This window comes from Homo sapiens, chromosome 12 (genome assembly GCF_000001405.40).
Source record: "Homo sapiens chromosome 12, GRCh38.p14 Primary Assembly".
In the NCBI taxonomy this organism is placed as follows: domain Eukaryota; kingdom Metazoa; phylum Chordata; class Mammalia; order Primates; family Hominidae; genus Homo; species Homo sapiens.
In genome coordinates this window covers 92,625,576-92,649,834 of record NC_000012.12, presented here as the reverse complement: position 1 = coordinate 92,649,834, position 24,259 = coordinate 92,625,576, and the positions used below count along the sequence as shown (strand labels likewise).

At 37.6% G+C, this 24,259-nt stretch overlaps 2 long non-coding RNA genes across 2 annotated transcripts in view; one reads left to right on the top strand and one right to left on the bottom strand.

Moving 5' to 3' along the window:
• LOC124902983 (uncharacterized) overlaps window positions 1–24,259 on the top strand; it is a 57,302-nt gene that overhangs the window by 5,173 nt on the left and 27,870 nt on the right. The gene's annotated exons all lie outside the window — the stretch shown is intronic.
• Window positions 19,580–24,259, bottom strand: part of LOC105369905 (uncharacterized) — a 72,972-nt gene continuing 68,292 nt past the window's right edge. The window contains exons 2-3 of the long non-coding RNA XR_945211.3: window positions 20,255–20,516; window positions 19,580–20,084 (exon numbers count right to left, since the gene is read on the bottom strand). This is a non-coding gene — a long non-coding RNA (uncharacterized LOC105369905). The remainder of the gene's footprint in view (window positions 20,085–20,254; window positions 20,517–24,259) is intronic.

Genomic DNA, 24,259 nt, shown 5'->3' with positions numbered 1-24,259 from the left:
CAGAAGTGGTGGAAAGAGCAAGGAAGATAAGGGGAAAGGAATAGAGAACGGCTTTGGCGTCAAAGGGCATAGACTGAAGGAGCTCCTCAGCCTGTTTCTGGTTGCATAATATTAACAACCACACCCCGCATCTCCAGACTCATTTCCTTATGCATGAAATGGGGAAAACAGTGTCGGCTTTGCAGTTGAGAATAGTAAATAAGGCAAAGGCATGCAGGATTTCTAGGTGCTTAATCATGGAAATTATGTGCTTTCTTCAGATGTTGCTTTCCTTAGCCTGGAGAAGTAGGATAGCTAAGAGAGAGAATAAGATTCATGTTAGAGAAGGAAGAGGACAACACAGCAAGGGTAGAAGTCAACACATAGTTTATGGACAAAGAGGATTCCTGTTGATCAAATAACATAAAAACCGTTTATGAAGCTGACAGAATGCAGGGAATCATCTCTGTATCTTTCTGCATCGTTTTTTAGTTTGTTGTTTAGTAGCAACAAGAAATAATCATGCTTTCCAAGGGAAGTGACAAGATATGCATATAGAAGTGTGTTTGGTTTCTAAAGGTTTTTAGGGATCAATTACGTTTTACAGATGTACCTTTCACAGATCATTCTTCGTATGTGTCTGTATTGTCTGAAAATAGCCCAGGATGAGCAGTCTATGTGCTCTGGTTGGAAACCTGGCTCTTATTTACTGGCTTTATGATTTAGGACCAATTCCCTAACCTCAGTTTGTTCATTTGGAAAATGAGGAAAATTATAGTAGCTCCTACTTTACAGGCTGATTATACAGGATACAAGGATTATATAGGATGATGTGTGTAAAGTGTCCAGCATACAGTAGGCTCTCAATAAATGCTGGAGCTTGTTAATAACCTTGCCCAGTTACAGTAACAATAGTGCTTTTCAACGGCCTGGAATTCAGTCACAGCTGGAAATCAGGTAATACTTGAAATTGCTTAAGGAACAATAAAGAGAACAAAAAGCTGTTTTTTTGCAGCTCTGTGTTGAAAGTTGACTCACATCCTTTCAGACCACTTGCAGCAGTGCCCAGATCTCTTCTCTGGGATCGTGGTGTCTCCATCAGGCCAAATTGACTCCCCTTTGCACTTACAATGCATTCTTGGGGACCAGTTGGGTGCCCATAGCTGCTTTGAACTAGAGACGCCAGCAAGGCAGTGGGGTCAGAAGTGTCCCCGGTTTCCACTGGTTCACAGAACAGAGGTCTCTAGGAGTCATGGCACTTCTTGACCATAATTTCAATCCCCTTACTTCCCATTCAGTGATGTTCCTATTTGAAATAAAATACTACTATGTTCTCCTCCCAACCATTTTTGGAGAATTGCACATTGTTACAGAAATACCCATATTGTCTAGGTCAGCGATTTTCAGTGTGGTCACTAGACGTACAGTATCAGCATCACCTGGGAACTTTTAGAAAAGCAGATCTCAGGCCCCACCTCAGACCTGCTGAAGAAAAGACTCTGAAATGGTGGCATCTAACCATTTGCCTCCTAACAAGCCTTCCATGTGAGATGCTTGCTCTAGTTTGAGGCTTTTTTTCCTCTAGCCTTAAAGACAGGTCATTACTGTACCATAGGTATACTTTGGTGTTTGTCTCCAAGAACTCAGTCATTGAGATCAGATTCATGATGTTGTTTTGAAGGTCTTATCCATACTTCATCATATTATGTCTGCATTTTGCCTGTCAAAAAACTAACAGGATTTGGAACCCTTCTTAAAACTGATCCAGCTCTCTTATTCTCTTATTCTGCCTGCATGTGTAAATATTTGACTTTTTTTCTCTATTACTCATTATTCCAAACCATGAGTTAAAAACAAACTGAATTAGCACTTAAAAAAATTAATGGTAACACATGTTATTTCATTCCTTTTTCTTTTTTTTTTCTCCTCTTATTAGAAAAAAAGCAATCTATCTTCATCTTTAATCCTAAGGCTGAAAATTGAGAACTGGTTGTGGATTTTTTTTGTGGGTATATGGCAATAGTAATGACTGCTTGGAGTATTATAGCATGAATAACACTAATGACAAAATTCATACATTTTTAAAATTTTTAATTGATGCAAAATTGTACATTTTTATGGGGTACAATGTAATGTTTTAATACATGTATGCATAGTGTAATGATCAAATCAGGGTAATTAGCAGATCTATCACCTCGAACATTTATCATGTCTTTGTGGTGGCAATGTTCAAAATCCTCTCTTGCAGCTATTTTTGGATATACGATATCTTTTTGTTGACTGTAGTCACCTGAGGTGCAATAGGACACCAGAACTTAAAATTCCTTCCCTGTTGTAACTTTATACCTGTTGACCAACCTCTCTCAAACCCTTCTTTTCCCCACCTTCCACAGTTTCTGATAACCACTGTTCTATTCACTACTTGTATGAGATCAACATTTTTATATTTCACATGTGAGTGAGAACATGCTGTATTTGTCTTTCTGTGTCCAGCTTATTTCACCAAATGCAGTGTCCTCCAGTTTCATCCATGTTGTTGCAAATGACAGGATTTTGTTCATTTTAAGGCTAGATAGCATTCCATTGTATGTGTGTGTGTGTGTTTGTGTATAATATGTGTGTATGTATTAGTACACTGTGTGTGTATATGTGTATAAGACATATTATACACAAAGAAATGATAAATGTTTGAGGTGATATTACACACATATTATATACACACATTATAAAAATACATACACACATATTATACACACACATATCAGGGCAATCTAGGACTTGTAGAATGACCTTGGAAGTATTCCCTCTTCTTTGATTTTCTAGAATAGTTTGAGAAGAGTTGGTATTTGTTACTCTTTAAATATCCAGTAGAATTCAACAATGAAGCCATCAGGTCCTAGTCTTTTCTTTGATGTAAGATTTCTTATTACTGGTTCAATTTCTTCACTCATTATTGGTCTGTTCAGATTTTCTATTTCTTCATAAGTCAATCTTGGTATGTTGTATATGTCAACGAATTTACCTATTTCTTTTAGGCTATCAAATTTGTTGGTATATATACTAGTTTATTATATTATTTCATGATCCTTTGTACTTCTATGTATTAATTGTTGTGTCTCCTTTTTCACTCTGATTTTATTTATTTGAGTCTTCTCTCTTTTTTTTCTTAGTCTAAGTAAAGGCTTTTAAATTCTATATTGTCAAAACACCACGATTTGTTTTGTTGATCTTTTGTATTACTTTTCTAGTCTCTATTTCTGCTCAGGTTTTTTCTTTTTTCTTCTTCAGAGATGGGGGTCTCACTCTGTTACCCAGGCGGGAGTGTAGCAGTGCAATCATAGCTCACTGTAGATTTTAACTCCTGGACTCAAGGGTTTTCTCCACCTCAGCTTCCCAAGTAGCTAGAATCTCAGGTGCACAGAACCATGCCTTGCTAAATTCTTTATTTTTGTAGAGACTGGGTCTTATTGTGTTGCCTGTTCTGAGCTTCACTATGCTCTTCCTTCTACCAATTTTTAATTTAGTTTGTTCTTGTTTTCTAGTTCCTCGAGGTGCAACATTAGGTTATTTATCAGAAATCTCTTATCTTTTTGATGTAGATGTTTATTGCTATAAACCTCCCTTTAGAATTGCTTTTATTTTTGTATCCCATAGGTTTTAGTATGTTGTCTTTGCTTTCTTGTTTGTCTTAATTTTTTTTTAAATTTCTCTTTTAATTTCTTCATTGATCTATTGTTCATTCAAAAACATGCTGTTTAATTTCCATATATTTGTAAATTTTCTGAAGTTCCTCCTGTTATTGATTTCTAGTTTAATATCGTTGTGGTCAGAAAAGATACTTGACATGACCTCTATCTTCTTAAATTTGTTAAGACTTGTTTTGTGACATATAATCTATCCTGGAGAATGTTCCACATGCAGTTGAGAAGAATTGTGTATTATGAAGCTGCTGGATAGAATGTTTTGTAAATGTCTGTGTCTAGGGTGCACTTTAAGTCCAATGCTTCTTTGTTCTTTTCTGTCTAGATGATCTTTCTATTGTTGAAAGTGGGTTGTTAAAGTCCCTTAATATTATTGCATTGTGGCTGGTCTCTTTTTGTAGATTTAATAGTATTTGCTTTATATATTTGGGTGCTCTTGTGTTGGGTATATATACATTTCTGATTGTAATATCCTCTTGCTGAATCAATCCCTTTACCATTACATAATGACTGTTTTAATCTCTTCATTTTTTTCTCTACTCCCATGACAGATTACTACTTTGTTTCTTTTTTACAATTTTTTCTTTCTTTGTATGGTTTTTGACTTAATCTCTATCTAAATAAATAACTTGACTTAAACTCTAGCTAAACAAATAACTAAGGTTATTATTGATAGGTAAGAACTTACTCCTATTTTGTTAATTGTTTTCTGGTTGTGTCATAGATCCTTTGCCCTTTTCTTCCTCTCTTTACCATTTTGGTTTCATGCTTTTCTGTGGTGCTAAGCTTTGATTCCTTTCTCTTTCTAATTTGTGTATCTTTTGGAATTTCTTTCTTTGTGATTATTGTGGGGTTGACATAAAGTCTTGTAGTTATAATAGACTATTTTAAGGTGATAACAGTTTAGCTTTGGTCACAAAAAATACTCGAGGCCCCCGCCCCCCACCCAGTTTATATTTTTATTGTCTTAATTTACATCTTTATCTATTGTGTTACTTTAGACTGATTGTAGCTATTGTTATTTTTGACCATTTTGACTTTTAACCTTCATACTAGAGGCTTGAAAGAGTTCCATAATACTATTCTAGTACTAGAGTGTTCTGAGTTTGATTATGAATTTACCTCTACTAGTGACTTTTATACCTTCACATGTTTTTATTATAGTAATTATCCTTTTCCTTCTAATTGTAGCACAAGAATTTCTTGTAAGGCTGGTCTAGTAGTGATGAATTCCCTCAGCTTTTGCTTGTATGGAAAATATTTTATTTCTTTTTCATTTCTGAAGTATTAGTATAGTATTTTTGGTTACTAGCTTTTTTTCTCCTTCCAGCACTTTGAATCCATCATCCCATTCTCTTTTGGCCTGCAAGGTTTCTGCTGAGAACTCTGATAATCTAATGGAGAGTTTCTTATATGTAACTTGTCAGTTTTTTCTTGCTGCCAAAACTAGTATATTAAACAAGGCAAATAGAGCCATGTAATTTACAAATTACTGTCACATGTATTTTCTTATTTAATTTTTACCTTTGCTATAGGTATTATTCTCATTTGCAAAATAGGAAAACTGAGGTTCAGAAGATTACACTTTTGTGATAGGTACCTTATAGGTTTTTAGGGGACAGGAGACACTATATGATTTTAGATGGAACTTTCTCTTGGACTAACAATAACTAATGCATATTGGGTGCTTTCTATGTGCCATGCTTTATAATGGTGTGTTCTATGTTTTACTTGATCTACAAAACATCCTGAAGAGGTAGTAAATATTACTATTCCCCTTGTGCAAATGGAAAGACAATCTTACCGAGGGTAAATAACTTGACTAAGTCACACTTAATTTTAAGGTATAATGGAGCTAGGATTCAGATCCAGATTGGTTTCAATCTGAGAGCACTTGTTCTTAGTCTGTGTGGACATGATCTTTGGAGATGGTGCATCTGAGCAGTATCTGAACCCTTCAGAGAAGGGAATTTTTGCCTTTGGCTACCTAGTTTCTGTACTCAGCAAAAACACAGAAAGAAACAGCAAAAAAGACTCCACTGAAGGCTTGAATCCTTCAACCCAAGTGTCTCTGTGATTTTTTTTCTGTAGAATAAGAGTTACTTATATCCTATTTGTCATATCAATTGCTATTGAAGATTTATTTTGCAATGCCCTATTATTTCCAGAAAGGATTTTAGGAAGCTATAAGGGCCTATAGGAGATCTCACATAATCCCATAAGTAGTTTTATATCCATAGGAAAGGCAGGCCTTTCCTAAGAAGCCAGCCTCTAAGTAGATAATTTTAAGTTAATTGGGACATTCTGCATTCTGTTATTCTTATCATACAAAAGGCCCTGGTGCAGTCCCAGTTTGAGACATCTTCCTACTTCTTCAACACAAAAAATTACTCTGAATAAGAGCAAAATGTTACAAATTGTTTTGACAACATTCAAATGGTATAGAAATACATAAAGCAAAAATGAAATCAAAGCTTTTCTACAATTGGATTTTAGCATCTCAGTGGTTCAGGAGATCAAACATTGAACAAGGTTGATGAGGAGAATATAATATGAATTTCTCCTCTTCAACCAAGCACTTACTGGATTTTATTGTAATGGAAACAAAGTCCACTTGCTTTCCTCTTTAGCTTTATGTAGAATGATCCTCAAAAGGCTGAGCAGGTGCCATGGGACTCACCTTCTAGGCAGACATATTGTCAGTCACCTTCTATATGTGGTTTGTTGATCTCAAGCTTCAGTCAAGGGCTGCTCTGTGCTTTAATGATGAATGGTGCAGCAGTTCACCGTTATTTTTGGTGCCAGTGTTACCAAAACACCAGGGATTTGGCCTAGGTCCTGCTGCCCACCACACAGAAAACCAATAATTGAGACGATGAACATAGCCAGGAAAGAAGGCTTTAATTGGGTGCTCCAGCCAAGGAGTTGGGAGATCAGTCTCAAATCCGTCTCCCTGACTGACTAAAATTAGGGGTTTATATAGCAGGGAAGAAATGTATGGGAAAACAGGAACTAGGGAGGGGCAAGGAAGCAATCATGATGAATGAGGGGTCTGGTGTCTCATTGTCTGGATACGATGATCTGGTGAGTTTTAATTTTTTGATACTTTTTGAGAGGTCTGGGAGTCCTTTCCTGAAGAAGGAACTCAGATAAAACAAATGAAATTTCAAACATGAAGACCCAAAGGGTCAATTTTTATGTTTTTCCAAGAAAAAAACTGCCTATGGGACTATTGGGTTGGTTTCATCAGCATGATTCTTTCTTGTTCCGAAGAAGTTACTTGTGTATGAAATAGAGTTGAATGTCACAATGTTATTCAGAAATACAAAGTTCTCAGCGTTTGTAAATTTTGGGTTTTTTTTTGGTAACAGCTTTATTAAGATGTGATTCATATTGCATATAATTTACATACCATGTAATTCATCTACCTAAAGTGTACAATTCAATGGTTTTTAATATACTCATAGAGTTTGCAACCATCACCATAATCGATTGTAGAATATTTTTATCACTCTGAAAAGAAATCCTGCATCCTTTAGTTATCACTCTCTCATCTTCCCATTTCCTCTCTTGCTCCCAGCCTTAGGCAACCACTAATCTAGTTTCTGTCTCTATATATTTGCCTATTATGGACATTTAATATGAATGAAACTTTCTAATATGTGGACTTGGCTGTCTGTGAGTAGGCAGTATGCTGTGGTGGCTAAGAGCAAGGGGCAGATTTGGTTTCAACTCCTTGCTTTCTGGCCTACTACCTGTGCAACCACGTGCAGAACCCAACCTAATTTAAAGCTTTCTTTCTTGCCAAATGAAGATTTTTAAATAATTTTCCTTTATTTAAAAAATGTTTTAATTTTGCGATCATTTCAAACTTATAGAAAAGTTGCAAGAATGGTGCAAAGAATCCTTGTGTACTGCACCCCATATGTTCCAGTTGTTAATAATACTTACATTTACTTTGTCATTCTCTCAGTCTCTCTGTATCTGTGTTTATATATTTTTCAAACCATTTGAAAGTAAATTACAGAATTTTCTTTACCCCTAAGTATGTTAGTGTGTATTTCTGATAAATACACTTTTTTTTGGTATATAACCACAGAAGAGTTATCAAAATTAGGAAATTAACATTGATGTAATACTATTATCTAATTAAATGTTGTCAATTGCCCCAATAATGTTGAGGATCACCTGCTAGCTTTAGTGATTTTTAATCTATGACAATTTCTTAGGAATTATTTGCTTTTATGACCTTGACATTCTGAAGAGAATTGACCACTTATTTTATAGAATACCTCCCAATTTGGCTTTTTCTGATGTTTTTGAGGTTATGCATTTTTGCATTAAATTCTTTTTAGCCCTTCCATATAAGTCAGTTTGTCCCACAACTGTTGATAACTCTGATGTATCAAGATGGTATCTGCCAGGTTTCTCCACTATGAAACTACCACTTTTTTCCTTTGCAATAATTGTCTTGTGGGGAGATACTTTGAGAACATTTACCAAAATATCCTATTCTCATCAAGCTTTCACAAGTTTTAGCATCCATTGACAATCTGTGGCAATCAATTATTACTCTGATGGTTGCCACATGTTGATTTTATAACTTCTATTATTCTTTCCAGATTTATTATTTGCATTCTAATGCAAGGCAGATCTTTTCCATTATAACCATTATTATGTCATTATTTATTTTTGCTCAAATTATTCTCAGATTTGGCCAGTGATGTCTTCTCAGTCTGAGTCCTGTGTTGTTTTGGCACGTTGCTGTCATTCTTTAAGCATTTTCTTACTTTCTGGTGCAAAAGTATATTTATATATATACACACTGATGATATATATATATATGATTATATATACATAGACTGATATATATATACACACACGTACATATATGTGTGTGTATATGTATATATACACACACACACACTTCCATATCATTTTCTATATCTTTCTATCCACGTATATGCAAAGTCATAGTACCTCCAATTCCAGTCCAATTCCGCAAGGTTCATTTTGGATTTGTACCTCCTTTTTTGGACAGTGAGAAACCTGGCTTCCTTTATTTGCATTCTACTTATTTATTTACTCAAATTTGCTTTTTCTCCACTGTAAGTGATATCTTTTGAGCACTGCCACCTAGAATGGCACACACTCTTAATGTCCCTCCCTGTGACCACTGCTCTGAGCTTCCAGATATCTTTCAGGATTGATGCCCTTAGAGTAGATTTGCTCTTTCTGGAGGTGAGTTACATCAGTCTTAGGCTTTCTGCCAGTTCCACTTTTCTGTGCACTTTTTCTAGTCAGCTCTTGCTCTCTACTAGGACTTGCAGGAGGTTGAGAGATAATTCCTTGGGATTTGGTGTTGCTTTTTCTATGTATAGGTAATTTGAGGTTTGGGCATTTTCTATCTTCTATTTGCTGAAGGTGTGGGTTTTGAATAGTTTTATTTGTTTTTATTTCATATTGCTTTTGGAGGAAATTTAGGAAGATTTGGATTTAGGGGACTATTTTCATCATCAGCTATCTGGAAACTCATCTAAATAAGAATTCTTATATTGTGAAGATTAAGTGATATAACCTATGTAGAGTATTAAGTTTGTGTATCTGTCAGAGTGAGAGAGAGGGAGTGAAAAAATTAAATACGGTTGACTATGTAACAGAAAAAGCCAAATACCTGGCACAAAGAGTTAGTAATAATAGCAACGCAAATTTAAAGAGATTTTTCTAGCAAAAATTTCTATACTTATTTTAATTTTTATAAAAAATATATATAATATAGCTTATGTATATAATGTTTTTATATATATGGTTTTAAAATGACTACAAACCTACAAAAAACAGCCATCTCTGGATCTACCATTTCCTATCTCAAGTCCACTGCTCAGAGGAAACCTCTTTCTACTTCTAGTTATTTTTTCTGTGATTTACATTTTTATTAATAGGCAATATGCTTATATTTCTTCATTTATCAAGTTTAGATAATATCATTATTTTGTTAAATCAATAATCAATGTTTATTGTATTATTGTGTTGAGGGTCCCCAACATAATCAGTGTTTGCAGTATTATTGTGTTGATGGTCCCCAACATCACGTCTAGGTTTGATGATTCATTAGAATTCACAGGACTCAGTATATAGTTGTACTTATGTGTCTTAGTCTGTTTTGTGTTTCTATAACAAAATATAGAAGACTAGGTAATTAGTAATGAGCAGAAATTTATTGGCTTATGATTCTGGAGATTGGAAAGTCCAGGATCAAAGGGCTGGCATCTTCTGAGGGTCTTCATGCTGTGTCATCCCATGGCAGAAGGTGGAAGGACAAGAGAGCTTGTGAGAGAGAGTGAGAGAGCGGGAGAGAGAGTGCACGTAAGAGGGGAAGAACACATACTTTATAAAAAACCTACTCCTAAGATAACAAACTGACTCTTCAGATAATGTCATTAATACATTTATGAGGGCAGAGTCCTCATGATCTAATTACCTCTTCAAGGTCTTACCTTGAAACACTGTCACAATAGGGATTAAGTTTCTAACACATGAACCTTGGGGGATACATTCAATTGGTATCATCATGGCTAAGATTTTTTTTTTTTTTTTAACAGCAAAAGGATACAGAATAAGATCAGCAACAGTAAAAGGGATATGGGTGAAGTCCACAGGAGATAGGAGCAAGCTCCCAGAGTCTTCTCTTAGTGGAGTCACACAGTACACACATAATTCCTCAAGTTGTGACAAAAAGTGAGACATATTGTCACACAGGGAAGCTCAGCAGAGAATCAGTGCCCATAGTTTTTATTTTTTTTTAATTGAAGGCTTGTCACCTGGGCATTCTCTGTTTGTCATATACAAAATTCTAGACTGCTAAAAGAAAAGCAGGTGCTCAGCACAAGCCATATTGTTTGCACAGACAGTTTAGGCACAGTAAATCACTTATCCTGAAATGATGACAGCCAAGGGCAGAAGAGTTAACCTTGTAAGCAAAGCTTTTAAAGCATAGCAGTCAGGCCTGCTATGCTGACTTTTTTTCCTGCACAATGGTTTTTATAAAGATTTTTCATACCTGTGTCAAGCAATCTGATTACATCCAAGTAATATGATTACATCTCCTTTCTTTGTGACTTTTTGTTTCCCCTACAGTTAATAATTGCTTTGTTTAGGTTATTGTTCTCGTGTGCTTGCTTAGTTTTTTGAATAACTATTACTAATTTTCTAAAACTCCAGCAGTATTATACAAGAGGTAAAATACTTGAAAGGTAAGTTGGGGGTCATATTATAAAACGTTCTGTATGTCATGTGTTATGGACTGAGTGTTTGTGTTCTCTCAAATTCATATGTTAAAATCCTAACCCTTGATGTAATGGTATTAGGAAGTAGGGCCTTTGGGAAGTAATTGTGTCATGACAGCAGAGCCTTTATGATAGGGATTAGCGTCCTTAAAAGAAGAAACACTTGAAAGCTTGCTTCTTTTTCTGATCTCCATCACATGAGAATATTACAAGAAGACAGCCATCTGCAAACTAGGGAGAGATCCTTCACAGACACTAGATCTACTGGCCCCTGGATCTCGGACTTCTAGACTCCAGTGCTGTGAAAAATGTTTTTTTGTTGTTTAAACTATCTAATCTATACCTATATCCAATCTATATCTTGTTACAGCAACCAGAGCTTACTAGGACATTATGCAAAATGACTTTGAGTTTTTTTTTTCTGTAGGCTCTGAGAGCCATTAAGAAGGTTTAAGCAAGAAGAGATTTGATTAAATTTAGTTTTTCTTTTTATCTTTTTTGAGACCGGTTCTCACTCTGTCACCCAGGCTGGAGTGCAGTGGCGTGATCACGGCTCACTGCAGCCTCAACTTCCCAGGCTCAGGTGATTCTCTCAACTCAGCCTCCCGAGTAGCTGGGACTACAGGTGCATGCCATCATGCCTAGCTATATTTTTGTATATTTTTGTAGAGACAGGGTATCACCATGTTGCCCAGACTGGTCTCAAACTCCTGAGCTCAAGCAATCTGCCCGCTTTGGCCTTCCAAAGTGTTGGGATTACAGGCGTGAGCCGTTGTGCCCAGCCAAATTTAGTTTTTAAAAATATTGCTTTGCTGGAGGAGGGATAAGAGTAGGTTAAGGTAGGAGGTAGAGAGAGAAGTTAGACCATTACCATAGTCCAAGAAGGATGTCATGAGGATTGGATCTACAACAGAAAAGATGAAGAAAGCTAAAACACTTGGTGGCTGACTAGACTTGGGGGACGTGATGAAGGGATGTAGCATTTCAGGTAGGTTATAAAATGATAGGGTAAGAACAAACACAAAAACTACTCTAAGATTAGATTAATTCCACATTTATTTAGACAAGTATATTAGTTTCCTAGAGATGCCTTAACAAATTGGTACAGACTGGATGGCTTAAAACAGCAGAAACTTACTCTTTCACAGTTCTGGAAATCAAAAATCTGAAATCTAGGGGTTGGCAGGGTCAGTTCCTTCTTCAGGTTCTGAGAAGAATCAGTTCCATGCCTCTCTCCTAGCCCCTGGTGGTTTCCAGCAATTCCTGGGTTCCTTGGCTGGTAGATACGTCACTCCAATCTCTGCCTCCGTCTTTTTGGAGGCTTGTCCCCTGTGTGTCTGTGGCTCTTCTCTTCTTATAAGGATACCATTGATACTGAAATTAGGACCCACACTACTTCCAATATAACCTCATCTTAATTTGATTACATCTACAAATACCCTATTTCTAAATAAGGTCACATTCTGAGGTTCTGGGTAAGCATGGATTATTAGGAGACACTATTAAACCCAGTGCATTAAGAATATGAAATGGAATGTGGACCAAAAACAAGAGCAAATACTTACATCTCAGCAAAATATCTGTTGCCTCCCTCCCCCATCCCTAACAGGCACCTGACTGTGCCAGGTATGGTCTTGCTAGAACTGGAAAGCTCAATTCTTACAGTAGCATCACTCTTTAAATGTAGGGCTTACATCTCTTTTCTGGAAGATTCTTTATATTATCTTATGTGAAGGACTGTTACAAACATCTGGATCTCTTTGTCCTTGAAACTAAGAAGGCTTTATCTTTATCTGTAGCAGGGAAGAAAAAGAGAAACAGATCAGTGTCTGGTGTCCCTGAACAGTATTTCAGCCTACAGGCTTCCATTGTGCAAATGGGACTTGGATAAATGATATAGCCAAATGATATGTAGCAGGGCTGGAGCTCCAATATGGACTCTTTGGTTTGGGTGATTTCATGTCCCAGTCTTCCTGGGACTGTTTATTTTACACTTAACAGCTCCCCTTTTCCCCTTTTACTATCCAAAATGTTCTGGTATGTATGGTAGATTATATTTCCATACTACTGACTCTTTGTCCTCTTTGTCCTCTTTGTCCTCTTTGTCCTGTCGGGTTTTTAAAAAATTTTTTATTTTTTTCCATGACACACAACTTGCCAAGACCAAAGAAAACCAGCAACTTTGAATGTTAAACTTTGGTGAAAGAGCACTAAAATCCAAGACTGGTTTCTGGGACAGAATTTTTGATATCTAACAGCTTCCCACAGAGTAATTGGAACATTGAGGTTTGTAGTCATGATAATTGGCAAATGAAAAGAAGAAAAAACTACATGAAAGGAGTAAAGAATACTTTATGGATAAATGCCTTTCTTAAAACTGCAGAAAGACAAGACTATATACTGCAGTCCCTCCTTATTCATGAGGAATACCTTTCAAGACCCCCAGTGAATGCTTGAAACCATGGATGGTATTGAACCCTATATGTACTATATTTTTTTTAATTATGTACATACTTATGATAAAGTTTAATTTGTAAAATAGACACATTAAGAGATGAAAAGCAATAACTAATAACAAAATAGAACAGTTATAATGATATATTGTCATAAAAGTTATGTGAATATGATCTCTCAAAATATTTTATTGTTCTTTACTTACCCTTCTTTAATGATGTGAGATGATGAAATGCCTAAGTAGTAAGAGGTGAGATGAATAATGTAGGCATTGTGACACAGCATTTAAAACTTATAAATTGTTTATTTCTGGTATTTTCCTTGAGCTACAGTTAACCAAGAATAACTGAAATCATAAATCTCAAAACTACAGATAAAGGGGGACTACTGTACCATCTACTCTTAGAAGAAACCAAATCTGAACTGTGGCCTGTTTTTTTTTTCATTTTTTATTAATAGACTTCATTTTTAATGATTTTTTTTTCTTTTTTTGGAGACAGAGTCTCACTCTGTCGCCAAGCTGGAGTGCAGTGGCATGATCCTGGCTCACTGCAACCTCCACCTCCTGAGTTCAAGCGATTCTCCTGCCTCAGCCTCCTGAGTAACTGGGATTACAGGCACCCACCACCATGCCCAGCTAATTTTTGTATTTTTAGTAGAGATGGGGTTTCACCATGTTGTCCAAGATGGTCTCGGTCTCCTGACCTCATGATCCACCCGCCTCAGCCTACCAAAGTGTTGGGATTACAGGCGTGAGCCACCGTGCCCGGCCAAGAATTGTTTTAGGCTTACAAAAAAGTTGAACAGAAAGAAAGAGTTCTTATATTACTTCCCCATCCCAGTTTTCCCTGTGATTAATGTCTTGCGTTAGTGTGGTACATTTGTTATAATTATAAACCACTACTGATCCATTCTTATTAACTAAAGTCCATAGTTTATATTAGGGTTGACTCACTATGTTGCAGGGTTCTAAGTATTTGGAAAAATGCAGGCTGCCATGTATGCACCATTGTAGCATCACACAGAAGAGTATGTCCGATGCCCTAAAAATCTCCTGTGCTTTACCTATTCACCCTCTCCTCCTCATCCCCTAATCTCCAGGCAACTGCGAATCCTTTTTACTCTCTCAATAATTTCGCATTTTCCAAAATGGCATAGAGTTGAATGTTATGAGCTGAATTGTGAACAAGACACCTCCAAAAAGATATGTTGAAATTCTAACCTCTAGTACCCTGAAACAAGATTCTACTGGGGAATTGCACATGCAATTATTTAAGATGAGGTCACACTGAAGTAGAGTAGGCCCTTAATCCAATATGAATGGTTTTCTTATAAGAAGAGAAAAATTTGGACACAGATGCAGACACAGGAAGAACACTATGTAATAATGGAGGTAGAGGTTGGAGTTATGCAGCTTCAAGCCAAGGAATGCCAAGGATTGCCGGCAACTCCAGATTCTAACAGAAAGGCATGGACAGTTTCTCCCCTGAGCCTTCAAGAGAGCATAGTCTGGCCGTCATCTTTATTTTTGGACTTTCAGCCTCCAGAGCTGCTAGAGATTACATTTCTATTGTTGTAAGCCACTTGGTATGTGGTAATTTGTTGAGGCAGCCCTCAGAAACAAATACATTGGAATCAAACATTATGTAGCCTTTTCAGATGTTTCTTTCACTCTGAATATATATCCAGAGTTCCTCCTTTATTTTTGTGGCTTGATAGCTTCTTTCTTTTAATGGCTAGAATGGTATTTCATTGTACAGATGTAGCATAGTTTGTTTATTCATTCGCCTATTGAAGGATTTATTGGTTGTTTGCAGTTTTTGACGATTATGAATAATGTTATTGACAGAGACAGGAGACAGTCAAATGCCACCCAGGTCATTGTGCACAGGGGGCTTGCCTAAATATGCCCATGCTGAAAAGTTCCGTCCCTTCCTTAACACATGCGCAGTAAGGGAAATAAATCAATGTGGAGCGGCTCAGATTAAGAGCCCGCCTGCACACTGGGAGAGTGCAGCGGAGCCATTGGGAGTTCACACCTTATGCAGAGGGAGGAGCCTGGCCTCTTCAGCTCCTGTGTGGTGGCTTGGTACTCAATTTGTGAGCTGGGAGCCTGTTGGTAGGACCCCTTTTTTTCACTGAGAGTTTTCTTTTAATAAATTCCACTCTCCTTACCTTTCAATATGTCCATGTGCCTAAATTTTCCTGGTCATGTGACAAGAACCCGGATTTTAGCTGAACTAAGGAGCAAAAAATCCTGCATCATTAATATAAACATTTGTGTGCAGGTTTTTGTGTGGACAGAAGTTTTTAGTCTGCTGTATTTTCTCTCAGCTTTTGTCCATCTACTTGCATTAAGGGACAAGACACTTATTTCTTCCTCTGCAGCATGTGAATTGCCCTTAGGTTTCCCTCCTTTCCTTAATTCATTCAAAAAATATTTATTGAGTACCTCCTGTGGGCCAGACACTTTGCTAAATATTGGAGCCCTAATGGTAAGTAAAATAGAGGTAGTTCCCACTTTCATGCAGCTTTAGTTGAAGAGCAGAGATCTCAGAATTCAAGTGAGATCTTGAATAGAATAATTAAAAGCCATAAGTGCTATGTGGGAAACAAATAGTGTGCTGAGATTGGAAATGCTGGGTTGGGGCTGCAGGAGCAGTCTCAGGTAGGTGATGAGAGAGGGGGCTCATGTGGGCCTGGGCCCCATAAGCTGGGAGAGACCTTGGCATGTGCTGGGCTCAGAAAGGAGGCAAAGGAGCTGAAGTGTTTTGAGCCAGGGCAGGGTTGAGGAAGCTGTCATGAGATGAGGCTGCAGAGAGAGGCAGCAGCACTCATACACACTGAAGTGCTCTTGTTCTGTGCTATTAGAGGGATTGAAAATGGGAGGTAACACGGTCCAATTTACGGTTTTCTGAGTTTTATGTTAATGACAGATAACGATGCTGCAACCACGGAACAAATATCAGTCTGTGAATTTGGAAACTTTTCAACATCTGTAGTCTTTTCTTCATCCTACTCTGATGAGATTTTCTGGAAGGTCTAGACTTCGGATAGGGCTTTTTCAAGGTATTCTAGAATATGGTGTGAATGGTGCTCCCCAGGGTTGCACAGTGGGGATGTGGTGACTTCACGTCATCTCAGGATTAGGCTGTAACAGCCATTTCATAGACAGATCAGTTCAGGTGGGGTCAGAGATTATGCCACCTTGGACTAAAGCTGTTTCTGTATTGTCACATAACAGTTAAACGTGCGGATTTAAATATGAAAATTTAGTTAGTTCTTCTCCTATGACTTATTTGGCTTGATTAAACCAGATTTAAATAAGCTAATTTTCCAGCCTGCCAGATAATTCCTCTAGATCTTAACAGGTCCTGCAGTGATGAGGAAATTCTTCTTAAATACACACAGAAACGTGAAAGTCTTCACCTAAACAACCACAAAAAGCTGTCTAAACTCAACCATAATACTTCACTTGCTCCAACAAAGAAGTGGATTTTCGATAGCCTATTCCAGAAGTTCCCCACACTTGTGTATATTAATTTTTCAGATGGAAACTGGTGAGGTGAAAATAATTTAGAGAGGAAAAAAATCCAAAAATCCAAGACCTTGTTAGTGAGCTTTGACAGGCAGAGCTGAAGCTGATGAAATTCACACTTGTGACTGAACAAATTATTGATGGGTTCCTCTGGGCCTTCAGTTCCCAGTCAAGGGCAATTAGTATGCTCACGGCTACATGGATGTGCATAATAATAGCTAACTCTTATGGAGTCCTTATTAGTACTAAATACAGCCCTAAATTCTTTTCGTGTGTTGTTTCATTTAATCTTCACAGCCCAGTGAGGTATGTGTTACAGTTACCCTCCTTTTTTAGAGAGGACATTGAGGAATCTGCCCAAAGTCCCACAGTGGTAATTGGCAGAGCCGGGATTTGAACCCAAGTGGTCAGATCACAGAGCTTGCTCTCACATTGGTACCAAGTGATTCTCCATGTGACCTCTCTCAGCTCCATCTTACCAAGAGAGTGGTGATTGCCTGGGCCAAGGGTGGCCCATGCCGGCAGTCCACAAAGTGGCCTCATAGAAGCAGCTATACCAAAACTGGAACAGGGGTCATTAATGAGAGCAATCAGGTTTTCTCTTGTGAATATGTACTGAGGAATACAGATGGAGGAACACAGAGGGAGGGGCAGCCACCAAAACTCACATGGCAAGAACTCGGGTGCACTGAGGCCCTAAGATCACAGAGGCCTATAGGGGTTGTGAATGAACCAAAGCAATGATCACCCACAAGTGTTAGCAAGCAGAGGTGTCATGTAGGGAAATGACACAGAGGAGAGGAGAAAGTGGATAGTCAGGGGAGGAGAGGGATTGGGATGTGACAGAGATTTAGTGAATTCTCACAGCTAAGAAGACAGAGACCCTGTCCAAGCTCATGCTCCTATTCTATGACAACCAGGGGATTCCTAACAAATGCTGCCACATTGTGAATAGAAGGAAGATGACTCGCAGAAGGACTGTGGGGTCCTGGGAATGGCAGCACTCCTGAGGGCAATTCAAGAGCGTTTGCTGCTGAGGACCTGATGAGATTGCTCTGCCCCTGGAGCCGAATGACTTTCCAGGGAGTTTGCCTCTCTTCTATGGCTCCTTTTTTTTCTCATGAGATTTTCTTCTTTGTTGGCATGAGTACCATTTCAACCAAAATGGCAAAAAGTTTGTTTTTGGCAAAAACAACAGCAAAGAACACTGTTTATGTAACAAATGGAACAGTTTCTTCAGATCCTCTTCAAATTTTTATTTCCCCCTCATTAGGGATGGAAATAACAACATTCAATTCTACCTGAATTCTAGCTTCTTAAAATCAAAGCATGTAAAGGTAAGGGTCATCTAGGTTTTTAATATCTTAAGTGTTACAAATTTCAAATTACCTTTCAATGGTGAAATATGTTTTGTTTTCTTTCCCTTGTAAAAATCCAAGATTGATCATGCATGTGCATGAATAATCTAGATAATGACTTTCCATTTATTAGAATAACTTACAAACTCTGCCTCATATATTCTCCTCTGCTGTCAATTACATGCCTCAAGAATGGACCTCAAGGTCAGTTTTACAGACAGGTTTGCATCTGCCGATTTGTTCCCTGGTACCCAGTTCTGAAAGTGAATTTAAAGGACCAGCTAACCACCACGTGGGGCATGCTTCATGGAGAGAATGTAAGATTTCAATTAACTAGCTGCGATTTCTCGTCCCAGTTTTACCACCTTTCTGACTGTAATCTCAAAGCAAATCACTTAACTCTCCTGAGCATCAGTTTTCTCATCTGTAACCTAGGAGATGTAATGATACATTTAGTAATAACTATTTAAATAGAATTCTTGTGAGATTTTGATGACATCCTATATGCGAAAGTGCTAACGCAATGATTATTTTAGATTTCCCCTTAGCATTGATTACTGGTTAGAAGATGTTAACATTTTGTTTTATTTATATTCTCTATACCCATCTTTATTTACTGGATAGATTACTTCGAGCAAGTCATTTAATATCCTCATCATTGTTCTTAAGACAAAGACCAAAATCTTTAACACGGCTTGTCTGTCAACCGTAAGGCCAATTCCTTCCCTGGGTCTCCAAGTTCTGGACATACTTGCCTTCTTTTGGGTTTGAAGGAAGCCACCTTCCTGTCTACCCTTAGGTCCTTGCACATGTTTTCTCTGCTTGAAATGCACCCGCAACTCCAATCTTGCTCCACTCCCCTCTTCTCTTACATAATGCTGCTGGAGCTTAGTTCAGACGCTACATGCCTGGGGAAATCCTGCCCACCCTTGGGTTTAGCTCAAGTCTATTTGTTATGGGCTCCCTGTAGTTCATCCTTGCACTTATCACAGATAGCAACAGCACTTATTTTTCTGTATGTGAGACAAGAACATTGTTTTCCTGAAAGCAAAGGCCGTGTGTGTGCTGCTTCCCTTGGAAGCCCAACCCATAGCTCAGTGCCTGGCATATGGTGTATACTTGACAATTGTGTTTTGTCTGAATAAGAAAATAACTTGAATACAATTAGTAAAACTTGTAATGTGAAGTAAATATATTGAATAGTTAATAAAAACTAATATAGACTAACAACTGTATCAGGTACTAAAGAGAGTGACCAAATTATTTATTTATTGAAGTAATTATTTATTTTGTCTATTGGTTACATAGGAACTGAGTTTGTCAGCAAGCATACATAATCTACAAGCTAGTACAGTATAAAACAGTTGAAAATTGGTACCTAGGAATATATAAACATAAAAAGGAAAGGCCATGTCAAAAGCTAGAATAAATATTTAGACTAGAGTGTCCTATGAGGTTAATAAAATTGAGCTGTAAATTTGATTCTATGCTTGCCACGGGCCAAAACAAAAACGAAAATATGATCAGTTATGTGATGGTCATTGACCTGAGGGAAAAATCCCTCCAGTCTTCTAGAGAAAGAAGGCCGTTCATGGGATTTTTTTTTTTTTTTTTTTTTTTTCCTTTCTGAAAGACGTTTCTTTGAAGGGACAGCACTTATTTTCTCCATGGCTCCTTGAGCACGTTGGCAGCCTTCCAAAACCTGCAGCATTAGACGGTCAGAGATTCAGAGATTCTGTTTCCAGATTCTTTTCCTCTTCTGAAATTTCTGTCTCATTGCAGTTAAAAAAAAAAAAAGGAAAAAAAAAGCTTAAAGTGTGATCTTTCCCAGACCTGAGGTGGTAGCAGGTCGGGGGTATATCCAGGTCTTCCAGGCCCTAACCCTTTGGTGTGACAATATCCCCACAGACCCTGCTTTAGTACTGACTCTACACTTACCAGCTGCTGACCTGGAGCGAATCACTGAATCTTCCTCAATTTCTTTGTCTGCATGGGCCTGCTGATAACTCCTTCACAGGGTGGCTGAGAAGATGGATGTGATAACATCTATAGCTGCGCCTGGCAGAGCCCCATGCTCCATAAAATGGTTCTGTCTTCATACATTTCTTCTCCCCTCTCAGATTTGACATAAGGTCCCTGGAGAGACTGTGAGCAGTAGGTCCCTCTTATCCAGGGTTTTGCTTTCCAAGCTTTCAATTACCTGCAATCAACCAGAGTCCTAAAATAAGTGAGTATAGTAGAATAAAATATTTTGAGAGAAGAGAAAGAGACCACATTCACGTAACTTTTGTTAGAGTATATTGCTCTATTTTATTATTAGTTGTTATTGTTAATCTCTTACTGTACCTAATTTGTAAATTAACTTCATCACAGGTATGTATGTACAGAAAAAAAAAACCTAGTATATATAGGGTTCACTACTATTTGTGGTTTTAGACTCCACTGGGGGTCTTGGTACGTATCCCCTGTGAGTAACAGGGGACTACTCTATTTGAAAAACTCTTGTAGATGTATGAGCATGTGTATATTCTAAGGACTCAGAGAGAAGGGAGGCCCAATCTACTATTTTACCAAACAAAAGAGGGAAGAAATAATTGAATTTATTTCTGTTTATTAATAATTTTCTTCCTGAATTTTACTTTTTATATTTTTTAAATTTATTTTTACCTAAAGCAATCAAATCAGGAATGGTTTTGTAACCTCTAATCTTTTCACCTAATATGTAATGTGTATATAGAATTTAAAAGTATAGAGTATGTCACTTAAAAAAAATCCTTACTTTTGCAAATTAATGAGGCATTGCACCAGTGATTCATGCAAGTAAAAACAAAACAGGGAGTTGTGGGATTCATGGTCAAGAGTCAGGAATGATTTAGCCGTTGAATATATATTGGGGTTTCCCAGCTTTGCTACCTTTATACTGAGAAACTGAGCTTCCACTTAGCTGAACCTAATCACTGCTAGAGATTTTTCTTTCTATAAAATTCTCTAAATGCTTATTTGGTCTCTTGTGCCAAATTTCTGAATTAAAAAGCGTAGTAACTTCACTTATAACGTCTATGATTTCTGAGCAAATTATTCTTGTCTTTCTAACTCATTCAATGCAGATTTGTCCATCTGAGAAGGTCATGAGAAATGCGTACCTTCTTTAGAAGTCACCTTAGATATAGTGGTTTCTGTGACAAAGTCTCAGAGAGACAAAGTATATTGCCCAGTGGTTACCAGCACTGTCAACAGGTGGACATGTTTATTTGTACAGTAATTTTCTTTATATATACTTTTTTTCCCCGAAAGAAAGCATTCTGTTAGCACACCAGATCTAAATGTGGATACTCTGTATGTGTCTCATTATGGTTTTGTGGACAAAGGAACTAAAAACAATGGTAGTTTAATAACAAAGTAGCTTTGTTTCCTCTAGCAGTGTCAGAAATGTAGACTCTTTCTCTCAGGGGAAAAAAAAGGTACTAACTGTGTGGTTCTAATGTACTAGCAAAAATGTGTCTAGTGCGGAACGTTTTAACTGGTAAAAATGGAGTAGATTTATACACAGCAATCCAGGGTGCTTAATGCTGTTAAAAATATTTAGATTTAATAGTCCATAGATATTAAGTTAGAAAGGTTTTAATGACCAATATCCATAGAAGAGAGATATTGGCTTGCATAGTAGACTACTCTGTTTTGAACATGAGGCATTTCCCAGGATTTTGCAAATTTCTATCTTTAGGTGTTCTAGATTGGAGTAGTAACCTCAAAGGTGGCCACGGTAGGCAGCCCTCTGTGGCCTGTGAAATTCTCTTGCACAATCCTGCACTGGGACTGGCAAATCAACATTTCTAGCATTTTGACCATAACATAGCTTTTACAATAGTATCTACCTAGTGTCTGTAGCATGAGTAGTGAAGATAAGCATGCCATCTTCCTTTCATTGAATACTTACTCTGTTAGGTATGACTCGAAGTGCTTCAGCCATGTTATCTCATTTAACTCTCTGAGTTGATATGATTATTATTCCCATTTTACAGACAAGAAACTAAGGTCCAGAAAGTTTAAGTGACAGCTGGTATGTGTTGTGGAGCAGATTCTAATCAGAGGGTCTCTGGCTGTGGGGTCTCTTTTCTAAACTGCCACACATATTGTTCCTCAAAGATCTAATTGATAGTTACCTAAGTTACCTAATTATTAGCAGTACAGAAGGATGGCAGCTGGTGTTTCAGCCCTAGCTCTCCAGCCTATTTCCTAGGTGACCTTGGGCATGTTATTTATTCTTTGGCGTTGGTTTCCTTATCAGTCAAATATGGAGAGTTTAACTAGATGGTTTTTAAGATTCCCTTTGTCATCATATTGGGTGAGTCTGTGATTAATATGACTTATTAATTTGGGTGGTCTCGATAATTTGCGAATAGCAGTGGCTGTTGTGATCCCTTTTACAGACCTACATTTTATAAAGGACAAGGACAGTTGTTTCACAATAGCACAGGGTAACGCAGTATAAGAGCAAGCACCGTGCACTAGTCATCTGGTGACTTTCTGGAAGGAGGTCAGAATATCTAGGTAGTACCAGTTCATCTGGGCTGCTATTAATACAACAAAATGCCATAGACTGGGTGGCTATGGCATAAAAGTTTATGTCTCACAGTTCTGGAGGCTGGGAAGTCCAAGATCAAAGTGCTGGCAGATTTGAGGTCTAGTGAGGGCCCATTTCATGATTCATAAACAGCATCTTCTTGCTGAATCCACATGTGGTGGAAGAGGAGAACTCTGGTCTCTTTACAGTCTGATAAAAGCACTAATCCCATTCATGAGGTCTCCACCCTCATGACTTTATCACCTCCCAATACTATCTACCTCCTAATACTATCACACTAGGGATTGGGTTTCAGCATAGGAATTTTGAGGGGACACAAACATTCAGACTATAGCAGGTTTAACCACATCCCAGCTACATAAGCTTTATCAGACTACACGACAGTTCTGAGCTTTGCTTTTTTTCAGCTGAAACTTAACAGAGTGTATCTTATATTCAATGTCTTTGGATTGAAAGAAATAAAGTACAGCATATGAATGCCTTAACATAATTATGAGCAGAATTATTGAAAGACCATTGATAAGCAGCGACCAAGAGAAGAGTACAAAATGGACAACAAACATGTTGGTCACAGAACAAATGATCACTGAAGCACATATTATTTGCCTGTTACTGTGATGGCAGAGGAGTATTCAATAGTACCTCTCTCCTGTGCAGGTTTTAAGATCCTTCTTGATGTCCCCCCTGATTCTACTCTTGTGGCCCTTCCCCATAAAAGAGAGACAGTTGGGTTGTGGTTGAAGACTCTATACACACCTTGGTTGTCTCATTTGCCTTGTCTCATTTGCCACACTACACTGGGGTTGATCTGCTCATGTGTGTGCCTCATCCATTAGAATGTGAGCGACTCAGGGGCTCACATCACTACCTTCTAGTCCTATGCCTGGCACAAAGTCAGTGCTTGATGGATGTTTGTTGGTAGACTGCAAGTCCTTGCAATCTATTTAGACCAATCTACTTAGACATATGACACAATTAGAATACATTTAGATATTAACATCAGCAATTATAACAAAACCAACAACAATAAGAATCATAATAGCTACTGCTTATTGAGAACAAGGCACTCAGCTAACAGAGTCATTGCTTGCACATAAACCACAACTGTACTGTTATACATTTGACCTCCTTCATCATCTTTTCCAGGTTGAATTTAGACCTGTGGACCTGAAATAACGAATTCATTTTTTTTTTTTTAGCCTGGTAGAGTTGCCTCTCGGCTGATAGTTCAATTCTGGCAGCATCCTCCATTTTAATCTTTGTAGCAGTGGTTTATTTAATAATTTGGATTTTTTCATACTTTTGTACTTATTTTATAATATGCATGGAAAGGAAAAAATGAAAGTATAAGAGTACTG